Source organism: Homo sapiens, chromosome 8 (genome assembly GCF_000001405.40).
Source record: "Homo sapiens chromosome 8, GRCh38.p14 Primary Assembly".
NCBI lineage: Eukaryota > Metazoa > Chordata > Mammalia > Primates > Hominidae > Homo > Homo sapiens.
The window spans coordinates 88,048,528-88,062,777 of record NC_000008.11 but is presented as its reverse complement, the minus strand read 5'-3'; the positions used below and the strand labels follow the sequence as shown (position 1 = coordinate 88,062,777).

The 14,250-nt window shown below is 36.0% G+C and overlaps 1 protein-coding gene across 2 annotated transcripts in view; it reads left to right on the top strand.

Annotated features, from left to right (window-relative positions):
- The window catches only part of MMP16 (matrix metallopeptidase 16), a 295,473-nt gene that overhangs the window by 264,706 nt on the left and 16,517 nt on the right, over nucleotides 1-14,250 (top strand). For both annotated transcript variants that reach the window (NM_005941.5, XM_024447154.2), the window contains one exon: nucleotides 6,500-6,650. In NM_005941.5, the coding sequence (NP_005932.2) occupies nucleotides 6,500-6,650 (151 nt within the window). The remainder of the gene's footprint in view (nucleotides 1-6,499; nucleotides 6,651-14,250) is intronic.

The following is a 14,250-nucleotide window of genomic DNA, read 5'->3' as shown; positions in this document are numbered from 1 at the left end:
CACAACATGCAGGTTTGTTACATATGTATACTTGTGCCATGTTGGTGTGCTGCACCCATTAACTCGTCATTTACATTAGGTATATCTCCTAATGCTATCCCTCCCCACTCCCCCCACCCCACAACAGGCCCCGGTGTGTGATGTTCCCCTTCCTGTGTCCAAGTGTTCTCATTGTTCAATTCCCACCTATGAGTGAGAACAAGCAGTGTTTGGTTTTTTGTCCTTGCGATAGTTTGCTGAGAATGATGGTTTCCAGCTTCATCCACGTCCCTACAAAGGACATGAACTCATCCTTTTTTATGGCTGCATAGTATTCCATGGTGTATATGTGCCACATTTTCTTAATCCAGTCTGTCATTGTTGGACATTTGGGTTGGTTCCAAGTCTTTGCTATTGTGAATAGTGCCACAATAAACATACGTGTGCATATGTCTTTATAGCAGCATGATTTATAATCCTTTGAGTATATGCCCAATAATGGGATGGCTGGGTCAAATGGTATTTCTAGTTCTAGATCCTTGAGGAATCGCCACACTGTCTTCCACAATGGTTGAACTAGTTTACAGTAACTAGTTCAACCATTTCAGTTTTTTCATATGAAAATCTTAACTCATCAAGATACAAAAGGAATTGTATAATTGTATTTTCTCAATAAACACTCAGAAAATTAAATGTTATCACTCATAATTATTATTGAGTTATTTCCATGAATTCTATGCCACAGATACTCAGCAGGCAAGGTGGTATTTCTTAATTTTGTGAGAATAACTGCTGGAATTCTGTCATGCAACTTTATAGCAAATGTTTACTGATAAGCTCTCTATTTTGCTTTGTTTTCATAAAGGGAATATAAGTACATTTTTCCTAGCAGGTTAAGAAAAAAAAAAAAGCTGATTGAGCTGTTTTATACAAAGGACTTGATCATTAAAAAGTGAAAGACTGATTATTTCTCCCTTTTGTGTATGGAAAATACTAGACCAACAGTACAGGAAAGTATTTTCAATGCATAGTTTTTATAAACAGCAACAATAACAGTTTTTTAAGTAGAATAATAACAATTTCCTATAAGAACTGTAATTCCTTTTCTTTTTTCACACATTATCCTCTACTGAGACACCGGGACTACATATAAACTAAGCTTCTGTGAACCATTTCTCCTGCTCCATGCACCAGGGCATCCTGGTTATTGATGAGCCTAGTGTCATCACTAAAAAAAGCCTGGAAGAAATTATCATGCAAATGATAAGCAAATTTAGGAGCTGCAAAAGGAAGTGATCAAAAGCATACTAGAATGCTTCTGCTTGAAAGGGACAACCAACTGAGTTGAGCTGACACAAGATGTACCCTAAATAGCTAGCATGAGAGGCATTGAAACTGCATACTCCTTCCTAATTAAAAAGGAGATGAAAGGAAAGGGTGCAATAAGTCACTGAGGTATAGGCCAACAGAAGAGGCCTTTCTTTCTCTTTCTTCTATTGTTTTAAGACTTTCTATTTTAATGCCACAGGGATTTGACTAAAATATAGAGCATGCTGTGAAACAGCTTTCTGGATTTTCCAACTCACTGACTCTGGCAAGGAAGTGATCTGGGCCTTTAGGATGAGGGGTGTGTGTGTGTGTGTGTGTGTGTGTGTGTGTGTGTGTGTGTGTATAATATTCAGATTATACAAGGGCTCGGGGTAAGTTTGCATTTTTATGACCATATTTCCCAACACTTGGTTAAATATAATCACTTAAATAAATGATTTTTCAGCACAATACCAAGGCATGCCTTATATTTTCCCACTCTTGCTAGTGGTTGTAAAATTTTTCTTTCTTGCTGTACTAACAAGATTCCAAACTAATGCCCTCAATGTTATTTATGTAGCCTTTATTGTGCCTTTTGTTAGATTTTTGATCCTATATTTGAGTAGCCATGTAATATTAAACATGGTTCTTTGCATCAGTAACTATTTATTTATTAAGCACCTACTTTCCAAACACTATACATGAGGTGCTACACGAAAATAATGTGTTCGATGTAGTGTTTTTCCTCAAGTTATTCACACCCTAGAGTGGGTGGCAGGCTTGTGATTCATCAAGGTACAATGTACTAAGTAATAAGATGAAGGTAAATGCCGGTAATTTGGCAATGTAAGGTGCCCATCATACTCAGATAGGAAATGCTTTTCAGAGAAATCGTGCTAAGCTAAGTTTTGAAAGTGTCATCCTAGTTTTCCATAAATGGAGATAAGTGGAATGTAGATGAGATAAGACACCCGTACTGAAAGGAACCTTGAAATGACATATAATGAATTTGGGTTTTATCCTGAATGCAATAAGAAACCACTGAAATTTTTAAACAAAAGAGAGGCAAAAATCAAGTATGCATTTTCAAGAAATCCCTTTCTTGACTTTGTGGAGGATAGATAAAAAGGAGACTGGCTGGAGACAGGAAAACGAGAAAGGAAACTGTTGAAATAACATAAGCTAGGAAATACACAGGTTTCTCTTAAGTCTCATGGCTGGAAGACAGCATGGTACCATTGGCTAAAGCTAGGATTCTGGCCAACAGGCTTGGGCTCAGATGTACCTAACCACTTACATGATATTTGATTGTTCACAATTTTACGTTGAACAGTCTCATTCAGTTAAAAGAAAAATAAACCCAGTAAGGTTAATTGAGCTTATGGGGAACTTATGGTAAGGAGTGGGTGTGTAACAGAAACTCAGACAGCCAGGAACTTGCTACACTTGCCTGCTGGCCCCTCTCCCATTCATAGCTTTGCTCCTTGTATCACTTTTTTTTTTTTTATCTCTTCTCATTCTCTTTTCTCTTTCAGTCCATCTCTTTTATTCAATTTCTGCCTCCTCTTAATATCTGCTTCCTCTGGCCATCTTGGCTTCTCAGGCTTCGTATTATATAAAAATAGTCAATTTCCCCTGCTTAGAGGGAAAATCTCTCGGTGTTCTCTGGGTCATCTTCCCAAGAGAGAGACATGGATGGTTCTGCTTATCTCTGCTTATCAGATGAAGCCATGTCTCCATAGCTTACTCTGCAGCACAGCATTTTGACTGGCTCTAGTCTTACAGTGATAGTATTACCTTTAGAAGGGACGATGGAAGGGATGATATAAAGGACCATTGGTAAAAAGAACAGCCTTCAAAGGACAGTTATAAGTGAGAGTTAGGAATTGAAATCAGCTGAATGTAATGATCCATTAAATATGGAAAATGAGGAACAAGGATGTTTCTGATGTCAGCCACGAATAACTAGTATTCCATCTACCCAAAGAGGGAAAATAAGAAAGGTATTCAGATGAGTTCAAATTTGGACTTTGTAGAAAATCCCATCAGATAACTATAGATACTAGTTGGCTTTCAAGAGATATTTGGATCAGAGATAGTCATTTATGACTACACTTTTTTCTTTTTGCCTTCTGATGTTTTCTTTTACTTTTGTCTTTAACACTGCCTCTTCTTTCTCCTGATGTGCCTCCTCTTCCCTCTTCCTTTATGTGATCTTTTCTAATGATCATGGATTTCTAGAAGTCCAGTTCTGGTTACTCTTTATCTTCTGTGTATACTCATCCCAGGATAATCTCAACACATCCTAAATTTATAAATGCCACATATATGCTTGTGTCTTACAAACTTATTTTCAAACTGACATACCTGGTTGCCTACATGACTTCTTTATGTAGATATCTCATTGACATCTCAGACTCTTGATTTAAACTTCCAACAGCCCATTCACCTTTAGTCTTGTCTTACTAAATAACACTGTTATTCACTTATCTACACAAGCCAGAACTTGAAGATCATTCTTAATATTATCTTTATTTTATTTCCCTTGGCAATGCCTATCAATTCCATCTCCAAAATATGTCCTGACTTTATTTTATCCTTTCCATCTCTATTTCTGCTGTGTTGGTCCAAACCACTGTCAAAGAACTTTTTGATTTAACTGTTCAATGACTTCCTATTTCATTTAGAATAAAGTTCAACTCCTACAGGGGTTACATGATCCTCACCTCTATCATTATACACTCCTATCACACTCTATTCTAGCTGCACAATAAGCTTCTTCCCATTATGGCATTTATTCTTTATGTTTCTTTTACCTCAAACAATCTTCAGTGGTCTGGCTCCTTTGAATTATATGTCACAGTTGAATAAAGAGATCTCTCCTGCATCTAATACAAAGTAGCCCCAAATCCCATCACTGTCACCTTAATATCCTTTTTTCTTTCTCCATTTGTATAGCACTTTGCTTTCTGAAGTTTTAATTTATTCATCTGTTTGATTCATACTCACTCACTGATATCTAAGCTTCATGAGATAGAGATGTTGACCTTCTGGTTCACTTCTCTATCAGTAGTGCCTACAACAGTGCCTGGTACATGTACTAAGTAATTATTGAGTGAATGATTCAATTAATTCTTGCCAAAGACTCTTGATGGGTCATCTTATTTTCATTCTTCCCTTTATAATCCATTTGTCTCCAAAAATCATTTTAAAATATAAAACCAATCACAACCCAACACAAACTTAATCTCCTTGATGGCCTCCAGTACACTCTAAGTAAGATTCCAACTCATTATGTTGATTTGCAAAGATTTTATACTTGCTTATTACAAATTACTGATCTTCTTTCAATTTGTTGATCATCCCAGACTGTCCTCTGCTCTGAATGCACTTCCCAATATTCTTTGCATATTTATTACCTTCTCTTTCTTTAGATTTTGGTGTATTTCTTCAGAGAGGTCTTCCCTGACCTTTTTACTTAAAGTAAGTTCCCTTTATTTTTTTCCTCAACCTCTGTTTTTTGTTTTCAAGCCTTCAGTAGTTTTTCAATTACTGAAGTTATATATGTGTATATTTGGTTTTCATCTGCTTCTTCTGCTGTCATGTAGGATGATCAGGGTAGCGATCAGGTTTCTTATCCTCTGTGGTATCCTTAGTACCTGGCATGATACTTGGGATGCTTGAAGATACTCAATAAATGTTGTTTTAACTTAAATGGTATCAAATGGTAGTAGAAGCTCTTGGAGTAAATGAGATTACCCATGGTTACAAACTAGAAACTCCTAACTAAATTTAGCCTAAAGATGTGTGGTTTTTGTTTGCTTATTTTGTGTTGAGAGCACGTTTTTAAAATTTTTTGAAGACCCTTAGGTATTACATGAAAGCTACGGTTTATCATAGTCCTTATCTGTGGGTGGTTTTGAAATATTGTAGAAAGGACGTTGGGACACCTTACTTTGCCAGATATTAACCCCAGGAGGTGCTAGAGATCCAAGACAATGCTGGATTGTAGAATGTTTCAGAAGCCCCAGGAGAAGAGGACTTGGGGAAGGAGGGAAATACAATTTTAGGGTAATGGGTGTTTACTGACTTTTATGGAAATATCTTAATATTAGTGGAGATACTGCACTACTACTATCATCCCTAACCTGGCCCCTGTAGTTATTTGAGTTTGTGGCCCTTCCTTATTTAGGATAAGAAGAGGAGAGCAGAGAACAGAGTCCTAGGAAACAATAACATTCAAGGGCTGAGTAAAATACAATAAGCCCAGAAAGGAGCAGCTAGAGAACAAACAAAACAAAAGAAAATGGTTTTCTCACAGCTCAGAGAGGAAAGTACTTAAGGTGGTCAATAGTGTCAATAGATAAGGGTGGAAAATTTTTTAGTTGGAGGGCATTGGTGACTCCAGAACAAAAAGCTTCAGTGGACTGAAACTTGATAGGCATACCAGAAAGGGAAGTGGTGGGCACAGTCAGCCAGGGGCACAGGGAGGGCATGAGGATATGTGCTGTCTGTAGAGAATTGTCAAACAGCAATAAAACTGACTAAAGCCTGTCTGCTTTTGTCTGCTTTTTAGTATCATCATGCCATGCTCCAGCAATTCCAAACATGGTTAAGGTTAAAATTTTCCTCCCCTCAGTTACCACTCTTAAAGACATGAATAGAGTTAACAGTTATAAGAGGGCATGAGGTCAAGGGAGGATGAATGTATAAGACTAGGGAGACTTGTGAACATTTACATAATCAGAGAAAAGGACCAGCCCAGAGGAGGTGTTTCAGTCAAGTAGAAGTTATAATCACTAAGCCAATCTGAGGGCATACCCGTTGCTCAAAATACAGGAATGATTTAGCCTTGAAAAAGACGTAGGACCTCTAATTCTTAGGGGAAGAATCCTTCATCCTTGACTCAGAATTGTTTCTTTATGGCAAAGTTATAGATCTATTTTATTTTTTAAATTCACTCACAAATTTTGGTTATATTATTATATTAATAAAGTATTCATTATATCCACTTCTGAATGATATTTCAAAGATAACATTAATATTCCAGATGGGACAACTAATAACTTATTTCAAGTATTTAATATAATATATATTTAGTATAATTTTAAATGTATAATATGTATTTAATATAATTTTAAATGTGTTAATAGATATATTCTAATTATGACATTAAATTAATATATTCTACATTTACACTTATTCCATACAGGTAACAAATATTGGGTGTTCAAGGATACAACTCTTCAACCTGGTTACCCTCATGACTTGATAACCCTTGGAAGTGGAATTCCCCCTCATGGTATTGATTCAGCCATTTGGTGGGAGGACGTCGGGAAAACCTATTTCTTCAAGGGAGACAGGTCAGTATACACTTCTCATGAGAAAAACAGTTAATTAACCAATGTTTAGAAAATCAGCATTTCTAGTCTATCAGAGGCATCAGCTGTTGAAGAATCCTGGTGGATTTAACACAGGAGTTAATGCAATTAAAAATTGTTTTACATTTCAAATAATATTTAAGATAAATCTTTCTCTAATATATTCAGCTAATGTGACTTTCTTATGAATGTGTATACCTAGCATATGTTTTTTTTCATTTCCCCATAATTGTAACATGCCCATAATGCTATGTAAGCAGTGTATATATGTATCCTTGCAATGCATCTTTTGGGGAATTTTACTTACTTTGTTTAGAAAAAAAATACTTTCAAGCACAGGATTTTTGTGTTTTCACACTCAAAGTTAAATTTTTATACTTTGTGTACAATAAATTGTGAAGACTTCCAAATAATTTCAGTTTAGTCACAGATTCTATTTCTTAAGAAGCTACCATAGTCAAACTATCACTGGGCTAATTACTTTTAGCTTGAAGTATAATATTTTTTCCCAACTATTTTACTCTCTTATTTTTTTCCTTTTGTGATATTGCTAACAGTGTTCACAAAATGAGAGAGAATTGTTACTTTAAAACTTACAGTAAGGCTGGGCGTGTTGGCTCATGCCTGTAATCCCAGCATTTTGCGAGGCCAAGGTGGGTGGATCACTTGAGCTCAGGAGTTCGAGACCAGCCTGGCCAACATGGCGAAACCCCGTCTCTACTAAAAATATAAAAATTAGCCAGGCGTTTTGGCACATGCTTGTAATTCCAGCTACTTGGGAGGCTGAGGCATGAGAATCACTTGAACCAGGGAGGCAAAGGCTGCAGTGAGCTGAGATTGTGTCACTGTACTCCAGTCTGGACAACAGAGTGCGACCCTGTCTCAAAAACAAAAAAATAAAATAAAAAAACCCTTACAGTAGCTTTTAGGCAGATATAGCCCTAGCCCTGCCCATTTGTTAACAGATATTACAAATGGAATATATGTAAGTTGAAGCCTATATTTGTATTAATTTAAATAAATATTTAAAAATATAAAAAATCAAATTTTAATTAAATTATTACTAGCTAGCTCACAATGAGAAATTCATAAGTAGTCTTCATTGTTTGTAGGATGACTTAAGTCTGCCATTATACTTCCATTTATGAGTAAATTTTTAAGAAAATACACACATACAAAATACAGGCTTTAATGTCCAACATGCCAGTATTGAGTTTGCCATATTATCTTAGCATAGAATAACCCTATGCAATGTCTCCAACTTTAGGAGAAAAGTAAGTAAGGCTACAAACTTTGTTTATTCGGAAATTTACAATTTTTAATTCCAAATGGTTTCAAACATTAAGCTTTATGTGAGAACAAAAAGTTGCTATAATTGGCTTCCATGAATAAGAATGTACACTTTTAAATTTATCCTTTTACTAACTGTATATGCAATATTCCTATATTTTTCCATAGCAAAATGCTCATAGATTTTAATTCGTTATAATAAAGCTAGGCTGTGCTATAATGTTTCTTACTAAATCACAAATTTAAAAGATCTATCAAACAAAAATTTGATCAAAGGAGAAGATGCTACTTAAAGCCCCAAAAAGTGTAATGACTCTCAACAGGATGTCCATGTAATAGACTATGAAAGAGGAAGAACTGTATTGCCACTGCATAGTGGCCACTAATGAAAGTAAATCTGCAGACTTATAACATATTCTTTAAAATGGTATAACTCTTAAGGTTGTTAAATTCACCAGCTGATTTTAATTGCTTGAATGTACCCATGCAGAACTCGGTACTATACGGAGTTGCACTTTTTTCTTTTTCTCAAAAAAGGGCAAAAATGAAAGGCTGAGGAGACACTTTGGAGAAGTTAGCTACTAGGGGACAGAAAATGGAAGCTTAACTTTCATGTAACAGCTTAATTAGAGTTTCATAGATAATAATAAAAATGCCCATTTCATTATCAGATAGCTCTTTTTCCCACAAATGTAGGGATTACATTTAAAATGTTTTCATTCTAAAAATTTATTACTTATTGGAACATTTAAGTTTCAGGATTAAACGTGAACTACCTTAAATTTGTGAAATCAGTGGAGGTTAGATGCCAAAAGTATAGAAGAATAAAGACTATAGAAAATGGGAAAAGGGTTTTTTAGATCATTTACTCCCCGCTTGAAAAGCTACATGCCAAATATAGAAAATATATAGAAATGCCTTTATTACTTTTAAGCTCTATTTAAATGACTATGGTTTTATAGGTTTAAAAAAACTGAAAGCAGGGTTTCAATTAATTTCCATGTGTGTGATCTTATGTAAGATGTCATGAGTTATAGATGTTTTATAAACAGATTACTCCATAGTCATATAATTATATATTTCCAGAGTGAACAGCAGTTATCAATATATTTATTCTAGATTTAAAACTTAGACGGAAAAGACATTAAACTCTCTATCTGAAACAAAAACACAACAATTTAGTTGTCACTTTTATATGAGAATTTATGTTTTATTATTTCTCCCCTCTTCTCCCACTGCCATTTTTCTGCTTATAAAAAAGAAAAAAAGTTATGTCAGCAGTTTTCTATTTCTCTAAGGCTAAGAGCAAAAAGGATTTTAGTGAGTCTCTAGAGCCGCTGTAAAAAATTCAAGTCCTTAAAGAGATCAGGTGAATAACGGCTGTAATACTAGGTAAAGCAGTATATCCAAGTTGCGCAATAGCGAATGATGAGTACTGCGGTAAGGTGGAAAGTGCAAAAACTCCAGAAAAGCATTCAAAATCAAGATCACTTAAAATAATCTACTAGGCAAACACAGCACATCTTTAAATTAGATGCTGCCATATGTCAGCCCTACATGTTGTTCACTTCCTACCAAAATCTAGATACCCTCAATTACAGCCCAAGAGTACCCTTCCCTCTCCACCAAACTGCCTGTGACAGTATGAACATGAGGCAGCACATTCTATTCTCAGTAGCTCTAGTGCCTGCTTCCTTAAGATTTCTGCACCTGTCCTACCCTAGCACTCATTTCATTCATTCAAAAATGCATTTTGAAGCACAAAGTATGTGACATGTGCTAGGTAATGAAGATGGAGTAGTAGAAAGACCACAGAGCTCCTAGTTTCATGGCACTTAGACTGTGTTGGGGGAGACAAATAATAAACAGTAAACAAATAAATGACCCTGATAATTTTCACAGTGAGAAATGAGACTCCTGGTGGTAAGGACAGGTTGGGACTTAGGGTTGACTTGGGAGAAGGCCTCACTTGTTAAGGGGACACTTGAGTGGGGACTTGAGTAGGAAGAAGTTTCAGCCATAGAAAGCTGTTCAGGACAATGTGTTGCAGGTGGATGCTATAGTCATGCAAAGGCAATAATGTAGGAAAGAAGTTGGATTGTTCAAAAACAGTGTTGCTAGAGCATAATGGTTAAGTGGTGGAAGAAGTCAAACTGGTTGATAGGGACCAGATTTCACAGGGCCCTGTAGCCCATGGCAAACAGTTTGAATTTTATTCTAAGTACAAGGAAGAGGCATTGGAGGGTTTTCAACAGGAAAGTGACATGATCTTCTGTGTATTCACACAGATTGTGCTGGCTTCTATGTGAAGAATGGGCTCCAAGAGTGGAGGCGTGGAGGGTAACTGGGAGACCATTGAAGGAGTGCAGGAAGACATGATGGTAGCAGTGGAGATGGAGCAAAGTGGGTGGGTGCAGGATACATTTTGAGTATGATAACAAGTTGTCCTCAGGGCTTGGATTTTAGGGGAGGAACAAAATAAATCAGGGCAACTTCTAGGCTTTTCACTCAAGTAATTAAGCAGATAGCACCTTATCTGGAGATAAGGCAGACACAGAAAGGAATATTGGGGGAAGGGGATTAAGAGATTGAAATGTCCATGCTTGACTGAGGTGCCTATTTATACACCAAGTGAAGAAGTCAAGTAGGTGGTTGGATAATTGAGTTTGCATCTTAATGGAAAGTTTAGTTGGAGGCACAGATCTCAGAGTTATTGACATATAAATGGTATTGAAAGCAGGAGTCCATGTGAAATCTTCTAAGTATAGAGATAGCTAAAGAGAGTAGATGAAATGACGGTTCTTTAAATAAATCTGTAAATTCAGATTAAAATATCTAGTGTTGTACTATTTCATATACAGCATGGAACTCAGTCCCTCAGATTCCTACTTGCCCTTTTGTTAATACACTACAATTTGGTACTTGGATATGTTTTGATCTTCATAACATTTAGCTTAAAATGCTATGTTTCTAAGTCATCTCTCAACATCTCACAAACATATCTAAGACTCTATTGCCATATTTCATAAGAAGCTTAGCTGTTGAGAATTTTAAGGTATTTTCAAATAAAAATAACAAAATGTAGACCTACTTTATTTTCTTAATTATTATCGTCACTAACAGTCAAATAGAAAAATACGTTTATTTCTTCCAGCTTAAGTGTTATGTTTACAAAGTAATTTTTTGATGTATATGTTTTTGAGTCGTTCAAAAATACAGCAAAAACTGATATATTGATATTTTCTATTCTGTTGCATTTTTAAGACTGATTCTGAGGAATGGGACTTTGGGGCATTGATTAAGACTGCTAATCTCCAAAAAATTATCTGATTAAAGTCAAAATTTTACAGTAGAGATAACTGATGAATCAGAAGAAAGAGCTATGAGGTTCATTTATAATAGCTTTCATCACTTATTGACCCTCCCACACAAAATTTCAATGTTTTCCATGAAAATATCTACATTTTAAACCCCCCAAATGGTTGATGTACACAGTGTTCCGATCTGAATATGCTAATTTACTTCTCAATGCATCTATAAGCTTATTTTTCAGGGGGAAGAACTCAGTGGGATGAGATTTTTTTGTTCATGTTGACATAAGCTCAAATATGTTGGAAATTAAAATATAAAGCAATATTTATGAGTAAGCCTCAGCACCTTTTATAAGACAGCACTAAATATAGATAATTCTAATTGCATTCTAGTTTACTGGAAATATTTCAAAGCTGACACAAAGCAGACAACCTTTGGGTTTGAGCCTATGTTGAGTTTTTCTAAAATTGTAAAATGATCCTAAATTATTGTTTTGCATTATCTGCTAGGAGAGGGAAAAATGCATTTATGTTGACAAATTCATACCCGAATTATGTTCCTACAAAAGAGTGTAATAAAATTTACATTCCATTAACATTTTCCTGAAATGAGATCTCTCTGAATCCTATGAGTCTGGCATATAATATAGGTGCACAGAAAAGCATCAGTGGGTGAATGAATCTATGAATGAACAGACTAAGCAAGAAAGGAAAGCTATACCCAAACAATGAACACCAGTTGTTTGAACGACAGCATTGAGAGAATAAGAACCACAGGCAGATACTAGCAGTAACATTTGAATTTCAATTCTACCACATTCAAACACAGTAAATGTGACTAAGTCAATTGTCTTTGAATAATATGATACCCAATGCTCTGTCATTGCTTAAATTGAGTGACAATTCATACTAAATCTATGGTTAGGACATTATTATAGAGAACATTGTAATATGTGATATAAAAGACTTGAGGGATTTAAGCACAACAATATATGTATATAAATTTACTTTATAGCTACAAAATGCTACATGACGTGTAGTTATTTCTACATGAAAAGCAACTACTTCTCAGAAAACTAATCTGGTTGCTAGGTATGTATTAATGTTACTTAAATCACATGCAGGATGTGATCCCATTGTCCTCAGGATTTTAAGTTATTCCAAATTTTATTTATTATTATTATTTGAGATGAAGTCTCTCTCTGTTGCCCAAGCCGGAGTGCAGTGGCACTATCTCGGCTCGCTGCAACCTTCGCCTCCTGGGTTCAAGCGATTCTCCTGCCTCAGCCTCCCGACTAGCTGGGATTACAGGCGACTGCCACCACGCCCAGATAATTTTTGTATTTTTTAGTAGAGACGGAGTTTCGCCATGTTGGCCAGGCTGGTCTTGAACTCCTCACCTCAGGTAATCCACCCGCATTGGCCTCCCAAAGTGGTGGAATTACAGGTGTGAGCCACCATGCCTGGCCTATTATTATTATTTTGTGACAAGGTCTCATTCTGTTGCCCTTGCTGGAGTGCAGTGGCACAATCACAGCTCACTGCAGCCTCAACCTCCTGGGCTCAACAGATCCTCCCACCTCAGCCTCCTGAGTAGCTGGAACTAAAGGTGTGCACCACCATGCCCAGCTAGTTTTTTGAGTTTTTGGTAAAGACAGGGTTTCACCATGTTGCCTAGGCTGTTCTCAAACTCGTGGGCTCAAGCAATCCATCCATCTTGGCCTCCCAAAGTGCTGGGATTACAGGTGTGAGTCACCACACCTGGCCCTAGTCCAAATTTTAAGTTAGAATTTAAAAGCTCACTTTAAGTTATAGTTTATGTCATCTAAAAGTGCCATGTATTGTTAAAATATGTCATTATTTATTCTATTATGAGAGGAAACCCTGTCAAGTAAACCGACGCTGCATCTATTGTAAGGGCATTCTGATGTTGAGAGATGTAAAATGTGAAAAAGTGTTTCTTAGGATCCATGAAATAGGTATTTGACTGTTTCTCTGCAAGACACTTTGTTTGCTCAAGTGTGGAAAGCAGTTAACATATATATTAAATAACTATTGTAAACCCCACTGAGATATTTACCTGAGAGAAGAGATCTTTAGATTATGAGCAAATCTCAGCTGCATTAACCATTCATCACAGAATGTTCTGTGGGAGAAGAATATTCAGAAATGATGTTTAATTTAAATATTTAAATTTAAAAGTAAATGTTTCCATGAACAAAATGTGAAAGAAAATTTATTTTAGAATTGGTGGCATGATACACTAATGATTCCACTTCATTGTCCTCTTCAGAAAGATGCAGTCCAGGCACGATTCTTTCAGCTCAGTGCTTCTCCATGAAGCTATTTCTGATCTGTTCGTCAGATCTGTTCTCATCTTCGATGTGATGAGAACCTGCAACAAATACCTGTGACAGTTTCCCTTTTGGTGTAAACTCCTCTTTGGGCATTACTTCTTAGTACACTTCCTGAAACAATCTTTTTCCCATTTCTATGTGCACGTTGAAGATGGAGGAAGATGGAGGAATTCCAGATGTTACTCAAGTGAGGTTTCTAGGAATTTATAGGAAAGCCTTTTGCACAGGACCCCAGAGCTCTGTTAGGTAAAGAATCCTCCATAGGCCTGGCAGAGGCATATCCAAACTAGAAAATACTTATTTTTTTCTAATTTCAGATAAAATGGCTAAGTCAAAGATAATTTTTTTAAATGTATCATTTCCCAAATATGTGTTGGCAAAACACTAGCTTTAGTAGATCACCATAGATGTTTAGTGGGGGGAAAAGCATTGTCAAATAAAATTGGGAAACGTATTTGGTGGCATCAAAATAAACTTGGAAACTGCCTTTATGGTGAAATAGCAGATACTTTTGAAATCAGACAAACATGGTTATATTTCTACCTATCATTCATTGTCCTCCAAGAATTCTCCTCTCTCAAATGGGGACAGTGATGACTATCTCATAGGTTTGTTGTGATTAAA